The sequence below is a fragment of the Homo sapiens genome, chromosome 7, assembly GCF_000001405.40.
Source record: "Homo sapiens chromosome 7, GRCh38.p14 Primary Assembly".
NCBI lineage: Eukaryota > Metazoa > Chordata > Mammalia > Primates > Hominidae > Homo > Homo sapiens.
The window spans coordinates 3,896,219-3,916,731 of NC_000007.14; the positions used below are offsets into that span (position 1 = coordinate 3,896,219).

General features: G+C 43.6%; 1 protein-coding gene across 5 annotated transcripts in view, besides 1 other annotated feature; it reads left to right on the forward strand.

Moving 5' to 3' along the window:
• The window catches only part of SDK1 (sidekick cell adhesion molecule 1), a 967,749-nt gene that overhangs the window by 594,967 nt on the left and 352,269 nt on the right, over positions 1 to 20,513 (forward strand). The gene's annotated exons all lie outside the window — the stretch shown is intronic.
• Positions 14,687 to 15,886: an enhancer, noted in NCBI's record as "MED14-independent group 3 enhancer chr7:3950537-3951736 (GRCh37/hg19 assembly coordinates)". NCBI's record gives its function as "activates an origin of replication core promoter dependent on BRD2, BRD4, P300/CBP and CDK7 cofactors, and independent of MED14, by STARR-seq in HCT116 cells {active_cell/tissue: HCT116}" and the evidence as "EXISTENCE:reporter gene assay evidence [ECO:0000049][PMID:35650434]".

A 20,513-nucleotide genomic window follows, 5' to 3' on the forward strand; every position in this document is an offset into this window, starting at 1 on the left:
CCTGTGTACATTCAGCTTTTGGTTTGGCATCTTCCTTCTCCCTGAAGGCATGTCCTTAATACTTCTTGAAGTGCTGGCCTGATGGTTTAAATTCCACCCAGTGCCCTATGCATGAGCGCTGGTAGGAGCACACCCTCTTCCTGGCCTTGTGTGGGCTGTCAGGATTATGTTGCCTCCTCCTGTTATTTCCTGGCCTTGGTAGTTTCCTTACCTGTATGCACAGATCAACACTCAGCAAAAGACCCTGAAGCTCTGTCTGCCACAGCTGCCTCTTCTGTGGCATTTTTCTCCACTAGCTTTAGCCTCCTGGGCCTCCGCAGACTCTAAACTCTGGCTTGTTAACTCAGCAAGCCCACTGGGATCTGTCTGGCTTCCCTCAGCCTGGATTGGGAACTCTTTCAAGGCAGCGAGCTGGACACTCTTTTGTTTTCCTTCACCCAGGAATCACTGTCCCGTGCTGCCGGTGGTCCAGTGTCAGAAATCGCTGCTTCACATATTTTGTCTGGTTTTCAAGCTGTTTAAGGTGGGGGAATAAATCTGATTCCTGTTACTGTATCATGGCTGAAAGCAAAAGTCCTCTTCACCTACTTAAAAAAACTTAATTGTAGCAAAATATACATGTATTAGTTTGTTTTCACACTGCTATAAATAACTACCTGAGACTGGGTAATTTATAAAGAGAAGAGGTAGAATTGACTCACAGTCCTGCATGGCTGGGGAGGCCTCAGGAAAGTTACAATCATGGCAGAAGGGTGAAGGGGAAGAAGGCATGTCTTACATGGCATCAGGAGAGAGAGAGCAGAGGGGAAGAACTGCACACTTACCAAACAACCAGATTTCGTGAGAATTCTATCATGAAAGCAGCAAGAGGGAAATTCACCCCTTAATTCAATCACCTCCCACTAGGCCACTGCCACAACACATGGGGATTACAACTTGAGATGACATTTGGGAGGGGACCAGAGCCAAACCATATCAATACATAACATAAAATTTAGCATCTTCTCCATTTTAAGTCTCCCGTTCAGTAAGAAGTATTATGCACATTAACATTTCTGCACACTCATCACCATCATGCATTTCCAGAACATTTCCAGCTTGCTCAACTGGAAGCTCTTTCCCCATCAAACAATGATTCTCATTCTCCCCTTCCCCAGCCCCTGGCACCCACCATTGTACTTCCTGTCTCCTTGAATTCTACTACTCTAGAGGCCTCATATAAGTGGAGACACACAGTGTCTGCCCTTTTGTGTGTGACTTATCTCAGCATAATGTCTTTGAGGCTATCCATATTGTAGTATGTGTTGGAATTTCCTTCTTTTTTAAGGTAAAATAATATGACCTTATATGTATAGACCATATTATGTCTTTCCTTTCATGTGACGGACACTTGGGCTGCTCCCCCTTGTGGCTGTTATGAACAGTGCTCCCATTTGCCACGTTCTTCTTAATGTTCAACAACTTTGTTAAAATTATTTAAATGCAATGATAGTCATCTCACCATGTAGTTCAACTTGTTTTTACAGCTGTGTGTGTGTGTGTGTGTGTTATAATGGGAAGAAGATGAAATAAATGGTTATAGTTAATTTGGGAACTTTGATCAAATCCCCTTTCTTTCCATATTCCTTTCCTTTTTTCTTTTCTTAAATTTCCCTTTTCTTATCTTTTCTCTCATCTTTTACTCTTCTCTTTGCTCTTTCTTTTCTCTCACTCTTTTCTTCTCCTTTCCTTTTCTGCTCTTATTCCATTTCTTGCCCTCCTTTCCTTCCATGTGTGCACAGTACACTGACCCAGGAAGCCGCCGTGTGCACACACACCCCAATCAACATGACTGAGGTGCTACGGTATTAGCATGAAGCAACTCATATTCCAGGGGCAGAGAGAAGATGTGAACATCCATGAATGTAACCTGAGTTGAAGTGGCCTGAATAGAAGAACAGAAGTGCAGATACGGTGCTTTAATTACTCAGTGACAGAGGTTATTTTTGGTTAGGGAGAATCTGGAAAGTCTTCATTGTAGGGCCGACAGTTGACCTGAAACCTGAGAGTCGGGCACAGTTGGGGTTTCCAACAGGTGCAAAGATTTTCTAGGTTACAGAACCACTAGAGCAAAAAGCGCAGACATGGGACAAGCCTGCTGTCCGGTACAATGTCACATCATGATGCCATTCAGACCTCTTTTCCCAAAGATTCTAACTAGCTTTTTTAAACTTTACAGTGATATACAGAAAATGATAAATACAAGTCATCATTAAAATGGAACAATGAAAATTACTCACTTTTCATGCACTTTGCCCTTTTCTGATTGGTTTTAGACTCGGTACATTGCAAATATTTTTCCAATTTTATCATTTGTCTTTTGTGTTTTACATCCTGTTGTCCTTAAGGAAATAACTGCAACAAAAGAGCAGCATCTCAGGAATTCTCACTGATGAAAATGAGTCATCCGAATTAACAAAAAGTTTGAATTACTAACTTATTAATAGAATTTTGGTTTTATTATGTCACGCCCCTTGTGTCATCCTTGATTGCCAAACTAAGTCTTAGTAATTAGAGCTCGTTGGGAACGTGTTTTAATAAATAGATGGTGATTGTTTCATTTTTAAGTGCCAAGAAGTTCATTCTTTACTAGGCTAAATTCATCTGTAACATCTTATGTTGTTAATCAGTTTAAGGAAATATTTTACCTTTAAATAAATGTATTTTTAGCCTAATTTGTAAACAAATTATCATAAATTCTAAGTTAATGGTTTCCCAATTCTATAGTAAGGTGAAACAGTCCATATCTACCTCATTTTATTATCGTATCAGCTCAATTTTAGGCCTCCTTTTGGTTTCCATTTAAGTCATGAGAAATTTACTAAAATATCATATTTCCTGTGATCCTGTCAGTCTTACTGGTGACTTTAAGTGAAACAATGTGTGAGAATTGTCTTTGGAAAGCAAAGTTGTTCACCCTCCCTGATCTGCTGTTGAGGAACCTCCATGCTCTTCTTAATATATGAGTATGTATCACCCTCAGTCTCCCTACAGAAATATTGCGCTTTAACACTTCCACTTTTTCCATGACACATCTGTCCTTGCCCCTCCTTGGCTTGGAGTTCTTTCATATCTCCCCATCATCTACAGGCTAAAGTCTGTTTGAGAGCAGAACTTTGTAGCCAAAAGGCCCATTTAAATCCTATGTCTACCACGTGAGATGCAACTTACAGGATAATCACTCATTTTCTCTCGGCATCAGCTTCCTTGTCTAGGAAGGGGGAGCAGTGTGGCTGCCCTACAGCATTGGTGGGAAGACTAATGAGAAAAGGCTCAGAAAGTCCTCAGCTGTCCCCGGGTGCAGAGTGGGCCCTCCCGAGGTGGCACACTGCCTTGACCTCCTGAGCAGTGGACAGGTTCCTCCTCCCTCCCAGGCCTGCTCAGCCAGGTCCAAGCTGCACCAGCTCCACAGGCACGCCTGCCACGCAGCCCCGTGGAAGCACCTCCTCTGTCGGCCATCAGCATGTGGGCCATGCTGCATCTCTCTCCCCAGATGTCCTTGCCCACCCTCAGATATCTCCACGCATCCCTGAAGGCTGACACTCCTCTATAGGGGGCGTTACCAGGCCCCTGCCACCCCAGGCACACTGAGAAGTGCTTTGTCCCTGCTTCCCGGACCTGGCACACAGCTCTGCTGCAGGCATTGTGTGGAAATCACAGTTCTTACCTCACACATTCCCTTGACCGCATGCATTTTAAAGCATTTGAATGAATTTTTAAAAATTCTAACTGTGAAATATTTCAGCCATGTGGAAAGCTGTAATCGGATACCAGTGTATGACACTAACATTTAACAAATACGAACATTTTAAAGAGAAAGCAGTTTTACAAAAAAACCTAACCCTCCTCCCAGTTTCCTCTTTGCTGAAGAAACCATGAACCTGAAGTTGGTGCTACTCCTTCTAATCTGTGTCTTTATATTTTATTACATATTTTCATCCCCATAATTCTCTGGAATAGCATTTGTATATTTTTAAAATTTACATAAATATTTTCACCTTTAAAGTGGTTCCCCTCAAATATTTAACACGCGTAATTGAACAGAGTCTAAAATTTACCAACATGTTCTGCCTGAACAGGCTTCAATTTCTCTTGCATCGTTCATGTTTTGTGGTCCGCTGTTTAGGTTTTATCTGGTTTTTCATCCCCAGGTTGGTTATAATAACAACACAACGTCATTTTTTCCTGTTTGGTGCTGATTTAGCCTTTCCAGTGTGTTTAACTCATCATTGCTTCTCTCGTCCTGCCCATCCTTCTTGGCTTCATATCCTTATAGAATTTCTCCTTCAGAAATCATTTCCCACTGGAAGGCTGGAAATAGCTTTATTTACCCTCCCTCTCTTTTTCTCCCACCTTTATTTTGGAAGATTTCAACCTGCAGAAATGTAAGGTGAATTAACTGAATACCTGACACCCTTCACCTAGATTCACCCACCATGAGCATTTGGCCGCTTCGAGTCCCCTCTCTCCCCCTCTCCATTTCCCTCCCCTCTTTCCCTCTTTGCATGCTCTGTCACACACTCGTTTTAGACTGACACATTTGCAGATTTGTTGCAGACATTCCTCCCTAATACTCCAGCGATCTTCAACATAACCACCATAAAATCATTGCTCTTGAAAATTTCGCATTGATTTATGTGTAGTTCTGTTATCTAATATATCATTCAAATTCAAATGTGCCTAATTGTAGCAAAAAAAAAGACCTTTATGGCTTTTCTTTTTCAATTCTAGCGTCCAATTAAGGATTATTTACTGTCTTTAGTAAAAACATCTCCTTACCCATAATCTAATCGTTCCCTGGCCTTTCATTTTTTCTCAACATTGACATCTTTGAAAACTCCAGACCAGTTGTTTGGCAGAATGTCCTTCAGTCTTGAATTTGGCTGACTGTGTATTCTTTGTCAGATTCAAGTTAACTGTCTTTTTTTTTCTTTTTTCTTTTTTTTTCCCGACAGAGTCTTGCTCTGTCACCAAGCTGGAGTGTGGTGGCACGATCTCAGCTCACTGCAACCTCCGCCTCCCGGGTTCAAGCGATTCTCCTGCCTCAGCCTCCCGAGTAGCTGGGACTACAGGCATGTGCCACCACGCCCGGTTAATTTTTTGTTTTTTTAATAGAGACGGGGTTTCACCGTGCTAGCCAGGATGGTCTCGATCTCTTGACCTTGTAATCTGCCTGCCTTGGCCTCCCAAAGTGCTGGGATTACAGGTATGAGCCAAGTTAACTATCGTAATGACCCCATGTCCTTGTCAGTGCACCACATCAGAGGCCACCTGATGTCAACTTGTCCCATTATTGATTATTTTGAGTGTGATTATTAAGCTAAATGGGGACCAACAGGTTTGTCCAAAGGGAAAGGTGCATTTTTCCTTTGTGAGTTATCAATAATCTGTGTGGTAATACCTTGAAACTATGGGACTATTCTGTTTCTTAACACTCTTTACTCACTCACGGGTGACTCTTGCCTCAGTCAACTATTACCACGATGTTTGTGTCCTAACTTCTACCATCCTTTGTGTGTTTATTAGGTTAGTCTTCTTCTGTAAGGAACTCCTTTTCCTTCTTCACATTTCCATTCCTTTTTTTAGGAAGGGACTCTTGTTCTTTGTGTTAATTGAATATGTTATAATATCCCGTTACTCATTTAGGTGTTAACATTGTTTCAGATTTGGCTGCTGGGCATGGTTTCAGAGTATCTCCTCTATCTTTTCCGGATGTTCTCCTCTGTCTTTGAGTGTGTCTCACTTTCTAGCACAACAAGCTGCTCCAGGCTCACCTGTATTTTTCCTGCCCCAGCCCTGGAATCAGCCATTGCTCCAAGAAGCTTTGGTGCCTTTGAGTGCAATATGATATTTACGAACCAAGATCTGGCTGCTAAGTGTGCTTATTACTTCCTTGGTGTTCTTACTCCCAGACTCTTCAGTGGCTAGAAATGTGCGCGTGTGCATGTGTGTGTGTGTATTTTAAATCATGAGTTTACGCTGACATCTCTAATTCCAGTTCATCATCACAGGGTTCTTCCTCTCCTCCCATTCCATGTTTGTGTCTCCCTTCTCCCACAATAAGAACCCTGATTCCCCATCACATTAATGTATTTACCCACTTATTCAATCCTACAATTCACACAAAATTGTTTTTGGAATTGCTATACCGATACTACTGCTCACTACAAATTCAGTAAGAGAGATTTAATATTTCCTTCTGGTTCTTCTTGTGCCTGGAAGATGTCTCATTAAGGGTTACAGTCAGATATTGAGTTCTAAACTTTCTTGCCTTAATTTTTTTTTCCTCTTCCATTTGTTATATTACCTATTTGATGTATAGCTAGGTTTACTGGTTTCTTTGTAGGAAAACTTTCCTGTGTCTTAATTGAATAATATATTTGTGGATATATAAACTGTTAGTATAGTTCAAAAGTCTAAATTACATGAAAAGATGTGGTCAGAGAAGCCTCATCGCCTTCCCTGTCCATGCCTTGTACTCCATTCTCAACAATGCTTCATAAAGAGCTGTTTTCAAAGTTCCTGGTATATCCTTTCTATGTTTTATTGTTTGCTAGTTTTTGTTTGTTTTGCTGAAATAAGAATATAGCACAGAATGACAGAAAAAATTGCAAACCATATATCTGGTAAAGGTCATTGTCCATAACACATAAAGAATTTTTACCACTCAACAATAAAAAGACAAATGGCCTAATTTTAAAATGGACAAAGGATTTTAATAGGCATTTTTCCAAAGAAGATAAAAAAAACGGGCAATAAACACCTGAGAAAATGCTTAACATAATTAGCCATCAGGGAAATGCAAATCAATACCACAGTGGGGTACCTCTTTACTCTCACTAGGATGACAGGTTTTTTAGTTTGTTTGTTTGTGGTTTTGTTTTTTGTTTTGTTTTTTTTTTTTTGAGACAGACGAGACTCCGTCGCTCAGGCTAGAGTGCAGTGGTGTAATCTCGGCTCACTGCAAGCTCCACCTCCCGGGTTCACTCCATTCTCCTGCCTCAGCCTCCCGAGTAGCTGGGACTACAGGTGCCCGCCACCATGGCCGGCTAATTTTTTGTGTTTTTAGTAGAGACGAGGTTTCACCGTGTTAGCCAGGATGGTCTCGATCATCTGCTGACCTTGTGATCCGCCCACCTCGGCCTCCCAAAGTGCTTGGATTACAGGCACGAGCCACCGCGCCCGGCCGACAGTTTTTTTCTTAATGGAAAATTGGAAGTGTTGGCAAGAAGTAGATACATTTTAACCCTTATACATTGTTTATAGGATTGTAAAAGGGTACAGCTGCTGTGGAAAAGAGTTTGGCATTTCCTCAAAAAGTTAAATACAGAGTTACTATATGACCTAGCAATACCACTCCTAGGTATGTATGCAAGAGAACTGAAAGCATATGTTCACTCAAAAAATGGTACACACATGTTTTTTAGCACTCATGAAATACTGCTATGTGGTATGTGATGGTTTGGATGTTTGTCCCTTCCAAGCCTCAAGTTGAAATTTGATCTCCCGTGTTGGAGGTGGGGCCTCATGGGAGGTGTTTGGGTCACGGAAGTGGGTCCCTCATGAACAGATTAGTACTCTCCCTTGGGAGTGAGTTCTTGCCCTATTGGTTCCTGAGAGAGCTGGTTGTTAAAAAAGAGCCTTGCACCTCCTAGACTCTGTCTTGCTTTCTCTCTGGCCATGTAATCTTCGCACACGAGACACCCCTTCCCCTTCCACCATGAGTGGAAGCAGCCTGAGGCCCTCACCACATGCAGACGTCCAATCTTGAACTTCCCAGCCATCAGAATTGTGAGCCAACTACACCTCTTTTCTTTATAAACCACCCAGTCTCAGGTATTCTGTTAAAGTAACACAAAACAGACTGAGATGTGGTACAAGATAGATGAACCTTGAAAACATTATGCTGAGTGAAAGAAGCTAGACACAAAGACCCACATACTGCATGAATCAGTTTATATGAAATGTGCAAAATACACAAATCTATAGAGACAGAAAGTAGAGTAGTAGTTCCCAGGGGCTGTGGGGAGAGGGGCAATGGAAAGTGAGTGCTGAAGAGTATAGGATTTCCTTTTGGAGTGGAAAAAATACTCTGGAACTAGGAAGTGCTACACAACCTGGTGAATATAATATAATATAAATATTCTGTAATGAAACTAGCCTGGTGCAGTGACTCACACCTGTAATGCACTTTGGGAGGCTGAGGTGGGAGGATCGCTTGAGTCCAGGAGTTCAAGAGCAGCCTGAGCAGCAGGGCAAGACCCTGTCTCTACAAGAAATGTATAAAAATTAGCAGACATGGTGGTGCACACTTGTAGTCACAGCTACTCAGAAGGCTGATGTGGAGGATGGCTTCAGCCCGGAAGATCAAGGCTGCAGTGGGCTACGATAACACCACTTCACTCCAGCCTGAGAGACAGAGTGAAACCATGTATCTAAAAAAAATTAATAATAGGCCGGGCACGGTGGCTCACGCCTGTAATCCCAGCACTTTGGGAGGCCTAGGAGGGGGGATCACAAGGTCAGGAGATCGAGACCATCCTGGAGAACACAATAGAATCCCGTCTCTACTGAAAATACAAAAGATTAGCCGGGTGTGGTGGTGGGCGCCTGTAGTCCCAGCTACTCGGGAGACTGAGGCAGGAGAATGGCGTGAACCCGGGAGGTGGAGCTTTCAGTGAGTGGAGATCGCGCCACTGCACTCCAGCCTGGGTGACAGAGCGAGACTCCGTCTCAAAAAAAAAAAAAAAAATAATAATAATAAAACCTACTTATCTGTGTATTTTACAGTCGTAACTTTTATGATATATGAATTATATCTCAATAAAAATACAATCATTTTTAAAGTATAATCAGCACCTTTTTTTTTTCCAATTCATATCCTGGAAATCAGCCCACATCAGTTCATAGATAACTTCACCATTTTTTTTATTTTTTAAATAGCTACTACGTGTTTGTTATACCACGGTTTATTCTGTCAGTCTCCTATATGGACATTTAAACGACTTTCACTATTTTTCTATTATAAGTAATGCCGCAATGAATATTTGTGCATTATTTTTGTATCACTGGAGGTAATGTTACTCTCATTCTTGAATGATAGTCTGGATGTATATAAAACTCTAGGTTGATATTTCACTTTCTTTCAATCCTTTGACACTTTTGTTACATTTTATTTTAGGCTTTTTATTTTTCTGGTAAGAAATCTGCTTTCAGTATAATTATTCTATTGTGGATAATCTTTCCCTATGGTTTTTAGGGTTGTTTTTTCCTTATCTTTGCTGTCTACAGTTTCACTAGGTAGTTATTTTCTCCTGTTTAAGAATCATTATGTTTCTTGTTTCTTTAGAATCATGTCCTTTATCAATTCCAAAGTTTTTTTTTTAGAGGAACGTTCTTGCTCTGTTGTCCAGGCTGGAGTGCAGTGGCACAATCACTCACTGTAACCCCGAACTCCTGGGTTCAAGCAATCTTCTAGACTCAGCCTCCTGAGTAGCAAGGACCACAAACACATGCCACTATCCCTGGCTAATTAAAAAAAAAAATGTGGAGATAAGTGTCTTGCTATGTTGCCCAGGCTGGTCTTGAACTCTTGGCCTCAAGCGATCCTCCCACCTCAGCCTCCCAAAGTGCTGAGATTGCAGGTATGAGCCACTGTACCTGGCCTCAGTTTCAAAATTCTTAGCCTTATTTTTTCTGAATATTTCTTTTTTTCACTTGTTTTGGTCTCCTTCTAGAACTCCGATTTAAGCATATTTGCATCTTCTCATTTTGCCTTATTTTCTCTTCCCATTCATCGTTTCTGTCTCTCTTTGCTACATTCTGGAAACTTTCCTCAATCTCTTTTTCATTCAGTTATTTTCTCTTTAGCTTTGTCTTACCTGATGTTTGTCCTCACCTTTGAGTTTTTAATTCCAATGACTATATTTTTCATTTGTGTTTCCATTTGCTACTCTTCAAATCCACCTTTTCATCGTGTTCTATTATTTTGTTAGAACTTTAATTATTTTATGTTTAATCATTTTTAACTTATTTTGTAGTGTCTCCCAAATTATTGTAGTAAGTTCAGGGGTGGAAATTCTGTTTCAGAACATACTAATCTTTACAATGGTGGCTGTATGCGTATGTGTGTGTGTGTGTGTGAGAGAGAGAGAGAGACAGAGAGCGCGCGAGTGCAGGAGCTCATCTTCATTAATTGTTACATTCATGGAACGCTCATGCTCCCTGAACTGTGCCTTACCATCAAATGGTTTCACCTCTGCTTGTGCTATTGTCCTGCTGGTTTCAATGGTTTAGAGCTGGTTTAAATTAATTTTTCAGATTAAGGAGCCCTCCAAGACACAGGTAGCATTTCAGTGTCTTTTTTTTTTTTTTTTTTTTTTTTTTTTGAGACAGAGTCTTGTTCTGTCGCCCAGGCTGGAGTGCAGTGGCAAGATCTCGGCTCACTGCAACCTCTGCCTCCCAGGTTCAAGCAATTATCCTGCCTCAGCCTCCTGAGTAGCTGGGACTACAGGTGCACGCCACCATGTCCAGCTAAGTTTTTGTATTTTTTAGTAGAGACGGGGTTTCACCATGTTGCCTAGGCTGGTCGCAAACTCCTGAGCTCAGGCAATCCGCCCACCTCGGCCTCCCGAAGTGCTGGGATGGCAGGCATGAGCCACCGTACCCTGCCTCTGTGTCTTTTTTGATCTCCTTTCTAGCGCATGCTGTCTTCTTTTCTCCATCAAGCTTACCTTTTCATTTAAAATTTCCTTCTTATATTTCACCTAGAATCTTACGTCCTTGTAGCAGGAATAGGGTCTGAGCCAGTGTATTCTAATATGTTGCTAAAATCAGATATATTTAAATATATTCTCTCTTTTTTTATTATGAAGATTTGTCTCTATCTGTAAAACTTAAAACTTGCCATTTTAGCCATGCAACTTAGTAGCATTAATTACATGCACATTGTTGTGTAAACATCCTGCATATCTATTTCAAAAATGTTTTATCACCCAAACAGAAGCTCTGTACCTATTAACTCCTCTATTCCCACCTCCCCTTTCGCCACTGGTAGCTGCTTTTCTGCCTAGTGTCTCTGTGAATTTGCATATTCGAAATATTTCACATATTCGTCCTTTTGTGTCTGGCTTATTTTACTTACCGTAATGTTTGTAAGGATTGTCTACATTGTAGCATGTGTCAAAAACTCATTGCTTTTTGTGGCTGAACACTATTTCATTATCTGACATACCACACTCTATGTATCCACTTGCCCGTTCATGTACATATAGGTTGTTTCTGCCTATTGGCTCTTGTGAATAATGCTGCAGTGAACATTCGTGTACAAGTATCTGTTCGAGTCTCTATGTTCAGTTCCCTGGGATATATCCCTAAGAGTGCGATTACTGAATCTTATAGCAACTTTGCGTTTTTAAAACAGACTCTTACCAAAATGAAATAAATCACAAAGGTGTAGCACCGCAACAGCAGAGGTGGTGAGGGTCTTACATCATCCCTCATCTGTTTAGGTTAACATATATGATATTCAAAATTAAGAGCAAACTGCTTAGTCCTAGAACTGCCCAGTTCTTGTTTCTTATTGCTCAGCTGTGTACACCATGTCTACCCAGTGTGAGTTTCAGTGGAACTAGAATACTTTGATTGAGCAAGGGCTTGTGTGTGTATTGTTTACTTTTAAAAACATTGTTTCAAGAGGGTTTTTTGTTGTTGTTGTTGGCTTGGGGCTTGGGGGTGATACTGAACCAATACTCATTCCTGCTTTGATACATTGTTTCCTGAGCCTTCTCATCTCTTCTCTGCGGCTTAGCTTTCATTATTTAACAAACATTTATTGAGTGCCCGTAATGTGCTGGCTTCTGTGATACACACAGAGAAAATTAACCCTGGAGTAACGTGCTGAGGGCTGCGGTACAGGAAAGCACAGAATGGGCCGTGCGCATAACCCGGATGAGCGCCTTGTGTCCCGCTCACTTTGCGCGTTGGGCTGCAAACAGTGAACACTCACTGAAGTTCTGTCATGGGATGGAAAATTCATTGCACAAATGCAAGTGGAAGCAGGGAGGGCAGGATTCTTGGGAATGACGCCAGATCCAGGAGACGATCAGCTTGGTCTCATTCCCCACCACGAACCTCGTGTCCCGACAGCGTCGACACATCCCTTCATACACGGCTGGCCAGATGCTCACCCGCAGTCCACTCAGCGGTCCACTCAGCTGCGTCCAGGATTGCTGGGTCATTTGGAAACTGCATAGAGATTCATAGGCAGCTTCCCCTAAAAAGGGTGATATTCTGATGCTTAGCCCATCTGGTACAGCCACCATTCATCTCTTCCTTCCTTCCTTTAAATATTCCGCAAGTACTCATCTCAACCTCTTCTCACACCTAAGCCTATCCTGATAATTGTCTTTTCCTCCAAATCCTCTTTAATATATTTTTCATGTCAAAGGGGAAATCATCTTCTTTTGTAAGAGAATACATGATAAATTTATTTTCCCTGTGTCTCCCGGATGTCTAGAGCGGGAGTCAGGAAAAGGAAGCATTTTTGGGGGGACTTAGGAGGAAAGAATTCATTTTTTTTTTTTTTTGGTACCTTAGAATACAGAGACAGTGATCCACATTAGAAAGGTATGGGTTGGACTCTCCTACTTCCCTAGGATGTTTCTTCTACCAGTGTGGGTGACACTGGAGTTGGGGTGGGCCATCAGGAGATGGAGGTGAGCCTGCCCCGGATGGCTGCCCCCTGCTCAAGTGAGCCAGGGTGGGAGGAGATGAGGAAGACAGCCCCTCTGGCTGTGCCTTTTGGCCCCCTTTTCTCTCAGTTGCCCTAAAAGTTATTTATTCCTGGAGTTGGCTTTAGAAATAAATAGGAAGTATCTTGGCATAAGTCAGAGAAGGGTCCAAGGCAGACCATCTTCAGACGCAGTGAGACCCTCATCCTCTACTCCATCATACACCTGTTTTCCATTACGGAGTTCTGCTGTCCTCTAGTTCAGCTCTGCTCTCCAGCAGGCTCTCTCGGGTGGTGACCAGATGGCCGCCAATAACTCCAGACTTAAATCCTGCCTGGGCTGCGGGGCGGACACCCCATCTACTGTGCAGGCACTGCTGTTGGCTCCTGTGGAGCAGCTGTGGAGCAGGGGTGGGTGGAGTAGCCTCTGCCCATCCTGAGGGACCTCCTCCGTCCTCCAGTTGTGGCCTCTGCTCAGGTTCATATGGCCACACAGCAACACTGTCTACCTTTTATGCTTCTGCTGATCCCTACCTCTCCCAAAGACAGTAAGCTCGGGAAAAGGGGACAGTGACGGTGTTAGTGACCCCACCACACCCACTACAGTGTTGAGCACTCATCACATGTGTGTCCGTGGAGCTGGCCTATATGCGCTCTCCAGTATGAGGCTGTATTATGTCTAAGGATACACAAATACACGGCTTTAAAGTAGGAATATTTTTTAATTTACTACAAAGAAGCTCAGGGATTAAAGAACCATCCGTCTCTTAATTCTCATGGTCGATGGCTTTATCTTTTTGCATAGCGTGCTTGCCTAAAGCGAGGCACCTCTTCATATATAAATCAGCCTTTTTTTGAATAAAAGTTAAATACAACAGGATGGAAATGCAGCTTTGAAAACCTATAATGAGCAGGAGGGATTATTATGCATCTACACCCCGGGGAAGTGAATATTTCATGTTAGAAAAAGTAGAGGCCAAGGGCAAGGTTCATTTAAAATGTATAAAGATAATAAAAGCGCTCATGGATGGAAAGGCCATCTGAAAGGACTGTTCACTTTTTGGAGAGGCTGATGTGGAATCATTGTGTTTCTTTGCAGGGGGAAAAAGAAAAAGTCCTGTGTGCGAATGGCCCCCTGCGTGGTGCTGCGTCAGCAGACAGGAGCATTATTTTCCCCTGGAATGTGCAGCGCTTGGTGCCTCTGTTCTCTCTGTAGTGCACAGAGCCAAGCAGAGAGAGAGGCTGAGCGTTTCAAAGAGAGACAAAACAAAAACAGATTATTCTGCTGTGCTGCCACATCACCACAGCACAATACTCTGTTCAAAATTGTCTCTTGTCAGGCACATTCTTCAAACAGTATTATGTGTACAAAGACTCTCTGTGTTGGAGAATTTGCATGTGTAGGGAAAATAGCTGCATAGTGCGGAATATTTCCTGAAGAGGCCAGATTTCTGTGTGTGTATGTGTGTGCCGGGCATCTGTGTCCTTAGCATTTTGGAAGGTGCCTGAGCTTTCGGAGGTCACCAAAAAGTACTGAGTCATCGTGCCATTCGGTTACCTTCGGCGCTACCATCCTAGTCTGAAGCTTTTACAGGCCTCTAAGAAGGTCTTCCTGAGACCCCAGTCTTGTTTTTTGCATAAGTACGCTGCCCAGGCTCCGGTGATTGACAGGTGTAGAATGGGACGTCCTCCTTTCCCAGTTGCATGATACATAGTGTTCAGTGTTAATTTCTGGAATTCAGGTCACTTGAAAGGCCAATTCTTGGGCCTTTCTGCCTGAATGGCTGATGATTCCTCTCCTTGCATCCCTCGTGATCAATTATCCAGAAAAACTGATTATTCAGATTGTTAAATCCCCAGTTAGTCCGGATAATCGGCATTCTGTTGTATCCCATAAATGTGGCCCACGCTGTGGAGCAGGGTGGGCCTCTTCCTGGGGCCCTGTGGCTCCTCTCTCCCCAAGCTCAGGCGTGCTGCTCTGTCTCCCGCTGCCTGCTCTTCTGGGCATTCCGCTCTCCTCCAGCGCCACTGATGCACAGCCTTTCCAAGAGGGTGGCCTTGCCTCTGGGTCAGCTCTCCATTTTGGGGGGACTAGGGTGGCCCGGCTGGAGGCCTCTGCAGTCTTTGTAACTGGGACAAAAGTTGAAAGGACACATAAAAAAAATTACAGATAAACCTGAAGGCACATGTGCTCACATGGCTGCTGTGGCTGTGGGATTGTTCCTTCTGCCTGTGAAATGGCTGAATTTAAAACCCATGCTTCTTTGTCCTCTAGATCCTGTACCCCCACTTTAGGAAGGGGCAGCAATCAGAATTAGGCAGCCTACTGTCTTTGTTGGGGGGCTGTAACAAAGTGCCATAGACAGAGTGGCTTGTCAGCAACAGAAACTTACTGCTCACAGTTCTGGAGGCTGTGAAGTCCAAGACCAAGGCACCAGCACATTCGGTGTCTGGTGAGGGCTCATTTCTTGGTTTGCTGTGTCCTCACATGGCGGAAAGGGCAGACGGGCTTCCTCAGGCTACCTGAGGAAGGGCACTAATCCCATTCACAAGGGCTCTGCCCTCCTGATCCATTCTCCTCCCCAGAGCTCCACCTCTTAATGCTATGACCTTGGGTAGCAGGTTTCAACATATGAATTTTGGGAGGACACATTCAAACCACATCACCTGCCCAAGGTCTTACAGCCGGTGGTAGCCCAGGCCAGCCATCTCTTTACTGTACCCATTTTGTCTCTAGTTCTGTATTAGGTGTTGGAGGAGGGAGGTCACACAGATGTGAAAATGAGTCAGCTGAACAAGGAGCAGGCCCTGCCCTGGAGGAGCTTAAGGGGAAATTATAAATTTCCCTCAGTAGTGAATCATGCTATAATCTAGTGCAGGGTGCAAATATGTGACCTGAGGGAGCTGGATAAAGTACTCACCTTGCTGTGGAGACGTTTGACTTGCACCTGGAAGGATGACTCAGAGCAGAGATGAGGTGGGGGAGGGCATTCTAGGGAAGGGGCCAACTTGAGCAAGAGCTTGTAGGTGCGGGGGCGTGCAGGGCAAGGGGGCCCTGTTCACTTAGAACAAAGGATCGGCCAAGGAAGTCTGGGAAACAAACCAAACTACAGAGGAGCTTGAGCAGAGTCGAAGTTTATTTTGTTCCCTCGTTGAAGGTTTAAAGCCGAGGAGCTACGTGATGAGCGCTGTGTTTTAGGAAGAGGACTCCGTAATAGAGAGGATGAGCCAGTGGATCCATTTCTAAATGTGTTTCTTAGGCTATAGGAGGAGGAGCTTTCTTTATTTATTCCAAAATTTGCTTTCAGATGCTAATGCGTGTATTGTGAACTCTGAGAAGAGAGAGTTCCAAAATGTATTTGACCACAAAACCTCTTTTTCACGGTAACTGGTGCACAGTAGGCACTCAGTGTTTTTGCATGACCAAATAAGCAAGTACAACACCAGCGTGCCACAGAGTGTGGTTCAAGAAACATTGCATTCTGTGAGGCGCTGAAGCAAGAAGAAAGGCCAGTGAGAGGCTTTGATATTTATCCGGGGAAGAGGTACTGATTGCTCAAGCTAAGCTTCAGTGGACTGAAGATAGGGAAGCCAACCACCCACAACTCCTCCAAATACCTCCCTCTCCCAGGCAGGCATGGCTGGGGCACCCGCTTCTGGGCTCTCCTGCCCCCTGGGCCCACCCCACGGATGGCTTTTCATGCATTTACTTATCATTCTCCTCTGGCAGAGACCGGCACGGTCTGGCCCGTGGGGGCTCAAGACAGTTGACAGAAGGAAGAGGAAGGAGACCTAAGGGACTTGGCAGCTGGGTGGAGAAGAAGACCCGATTTCTTTATTTATACATGGACTTGCTTGAAAAAGATTTCTAGTCCTTAACCAAAAAAAAGTGCAGTGACCTTTCCACTACGACATCTGTTCCCACGAGATGCAAGTCACAGTTTTCATGTAAGGGCTCAAAGCAACCGTGGAGGGCCGAAGGCAAGCAAGATGTGGATCAGGCTCTTGTTTTTCTCTTCTCTTCATCTTCCCCTCCCCTTCTAAAGTGAGAGCTTGTGATTAAGGAGGGTTTAATGACAGGGAAAACAGTTAAAATGAAGAAGGAGTTGCCTGAAGGAAGCATCTGGGAGGTGGGCAGAGCAAGGGGTACCGGGGGCCCTGCCATGAAGCCTTCAGGGCATCGGTATGGAAATGCCTCCAGCTCCTGGCTCGCGCTAAGCGTACCTGGTTCTCTAGATGGCTCCCGGTCTTCTTGCCTCCTGGCCCTTCCCTCTCCCCTCCTCTGACCTTTCTCTTACACTTATCTTTTTTTTTTTTTTTTTTTGAGATGGAGTCTCGCTCTGTCACCCAGGCTGGAGTGCAGTGGCACGATCTCGGCTCACTGCAACCTCCGCCTCCCAGGTTCACGCCATTCTCCTGCCTCAGCCGCTCGAGTAGCTGGGACTACAGGCGCTCGCCACAACGCCCAGCTAATTTTTTGTATTTTTGGTAGAGATGGGGTTTCACTATGTTAGCCAGGATGGTCTCGATCTCCTGACGTCGTGATCCACCCGCCTCGGCCTCCCAAAGTGCTGACATTACAGGCGTGAGCCACCGTGCCCGGCCCTGTTACACTTATCTTTATTCCCCTCATCCATTCTTTTCTCTGGACTATGTTAGTGCTCTGGTAACATCCTTTCCCTCATTCAATCCCAACTCTCCTAAACCCCCTTGAGTATGTTCACCAGTGGTTTATTGACATCCATCTATTCTTGTTCTCTCCAAGCCCAGCAAAAATAAGAAAACATATTTTGGGGTAGACAGATGCTGACCCCTGACAATTTCTCTTTGATTTTCCTCCACATTTTCTCTTTATTTTTTGCTTCACTAACCTTTAAGCCAGAGTAAATAAAAATGACTGGAGATGACTGATTTGCCCCAGATTACACATTAAGTTAGTGGTGATACTAGCGCCAGGGCCCAGGGCTGACTCTGCTATACCATACTCCCTTCCCTGATGGTGCCTGCTTTTCTGAAAGCTTCTTGCCCTATTATAAAGGAAGAAGCATCTACTCCAGATGTTGAAAAAGGTAAGGAGCGGTTATGAAGGCCCAGCCCTGGGGATAGCTTAGCATTTTGCATTTAGTGCAAACCCATTTGCAGCTTTTCCTCATATTTGGTTGAAAGCATTTGCATTATACAGTTCATTTATGCCTTTATCATAATTAGGTGCAAGTTGCTGCTGCAATATGCTTGTCTGCATTATTACCGTACTTGCCTATTTTCATTCCTGCTCATCCTACGTTATTGTGTCTTACTGGGTTCATGTCAAATCTTTTCAATGTGTATAATATTCTGCTTTCGGAAATCAGGAGGGGGCAAAGATTGTTATGTCAAAAATTCAGAGAAAATGAAGAAATGTGTGTACATGTGCACATATAGAGAGAAACTGCATTGAAATCACAGCGAGATTGTGGCAGAAATGAGAAAACCTAAGATTAACGGCTTAGAGGGTTTTTATGCTCCTGGAACTCAGAAATGGTATGTTTGCAGTTGCTGCACAAACATGGTCTAATTGCTGAAGCTATTTTTAAAAAGCACGCTGAAACCATGAAGCTAGGGAAGTTCAAAGGCTTGCTCTTGCATGTGCTCAGTCATCTTTCCCAACTCTTATTGCAAAATGATTTTTTGCTTGAGGACAGAGTGTTGGGTATCTGTGACAGCCACGGTGACATGGGCTGGGAGGTGTCTCCAGAGCAGCTCCAGCAGATCCCTGATGGCCCACTGGGTAATTAAAAGCTAAGTGGAATGTTGAAAAAACGTCCATACAATTTGATCGGTCAATTTGCTTGCTTTTTTGAGAATTTAAATGAGACCTTCAGAATCATTTGAACTTTTAAAAGGAAATCATTTCAAAAGTCGTCGAAAGCGAGTGTGTTTGATGTGTCTTAAGTGACGGGCAAGACTGAACTCATTTTAGGTGGTTGTTGATAGTATGGATGCAGCTGTGAAACTTGAATCAGAATCATGCGCCATCCTTCAGTCAACTTTGTAAGGCACATTTCTCCCGGAAATCCCACAACTGTTGATTATTCTCTTGTACGGCCGTGGAATCTGAGAGCTTTCAATTAGCCCCTAAGGGCACGAGAAGTTGAGGGTATTTTCCAAATAACAGGGTCTACATGCAAATGACGTGGTAGGAGCAGGGGTAGGATGAGCCAGAGAAAGCTGGAGCCTGGCTTCTGCCCCATTCTCTCCAGCTCACTCGCTGTAGAAAGCCAGTGGCTAAAGGCCCTTGTTGGAGCCAGGGGAGTCTTTGGTAGGAGACCCCTGAAGAGCATGTACCCTGATGTGGTTTGGCTGTGTCCCCACCCAAATCTCATCTTGAATTGTAGCTCCCATAATTCCCACGTGTTGTGGGAGGGACCCGTGGGGAGGTAATTGAATCATAGGGGTGGGTTTTTCCCATGCTGTTCTTGTGGTAGTGAACAAGTCTCATGAGATCGGATGGTTTTCTGAGGGGTTTCCCCTTTCGCTTGGCCCTCATTCTGTGTTTCCCACCTCCATGTAAGACATCCTTTTGCTCTTCCTTCATCTTACACCATGATGGTGGGGCCTCCCCAGTCATGTGGCACTGCGAGTCCATTAAGCCTCTTTTTCTTTATGAATTGCCCAGTCATGGGTGTGTCTTTATTAGCAGCGTGAGAATGAGCTAATACATACACTAACCAAGCACCCTCTGTGGCTGACTCCAAGTTGTCATGGAAGTTGATAAAGTACCCTTGAGAGCTTAGTACCAAGTCACGTGCTGACTGACTGGGTTTTACACGTCCTAGCCACCTTCCACCCAGACCACTGTATCCAAAACCTGGCCTGGCCACGTTTTGGATAACTTTTTACTTACTTTTTTATTTAGTGAACTACAGTTTATTTGATCATTCTTGATCACTTTATTAAGCGGAAGGAGATGTTAATCTCTGAAAAGTCTATCCTTTTACTTCCCTAAACCAAAAAGTGACTGGAGCAGATCTCAATAGATGAGAAGTTTATTTTGTCAAGGTTGAGGGCACACCCAGGAAAAAGAAACACAAGTCATAGTAGGATCTATGGCCTGTGCTTTTTCCAAAGAGGGTTTTTGGAACTTCAGTATTTAGAGAAAAGAACAAGCAAGAGTAGCGGGGGGTGGGAAAGAGGGAGGGAGAGGAGGCAATGAGGCCAGTGGTCACATTCCTGTGAAGCCCTGACCAGCCCTCAGTGGATCTACATTTTACATGTGAAGAAAGGGAATCAGGGAAAGTCAATTATGATTCTCTCTCTGCTTAGTAAATCTACACTTTACATGAGTTAAAGTAAACATGTGACATCATAGCTGTCTGTTTGGGAACAAAAGGAAGGCAGTGTTTTGCATGACTCAGTTCCCAGCCCTAACTTCCCCTTTGGCACAGTGAGTTTGGGGTCCTGAGTTTCTATTTTCCTTGCACACGTCTTAGTGCTGTGATAGAAAAGGGGTTTATTTGAACTCTTGCCATCTTTGTCTTAAAAGATGATGGAAAGTCAACTGTCTGTGGATGTGATAGGCAAATCAGTTGTTTTAAGCAATTCTTAGGTAAGATTTAACATGGCCTCAACTAATTACTTAAGAGACAGCTAGGAATTATTTCTGTTTGCCTGTACTTTGCCTCTGTATGTGTGTGTGTGCATTGCATTTCTAGGGAAAATATTGAATAGCAGTTTCTTTTTTGAATAATTATGTATTAGAGAAATT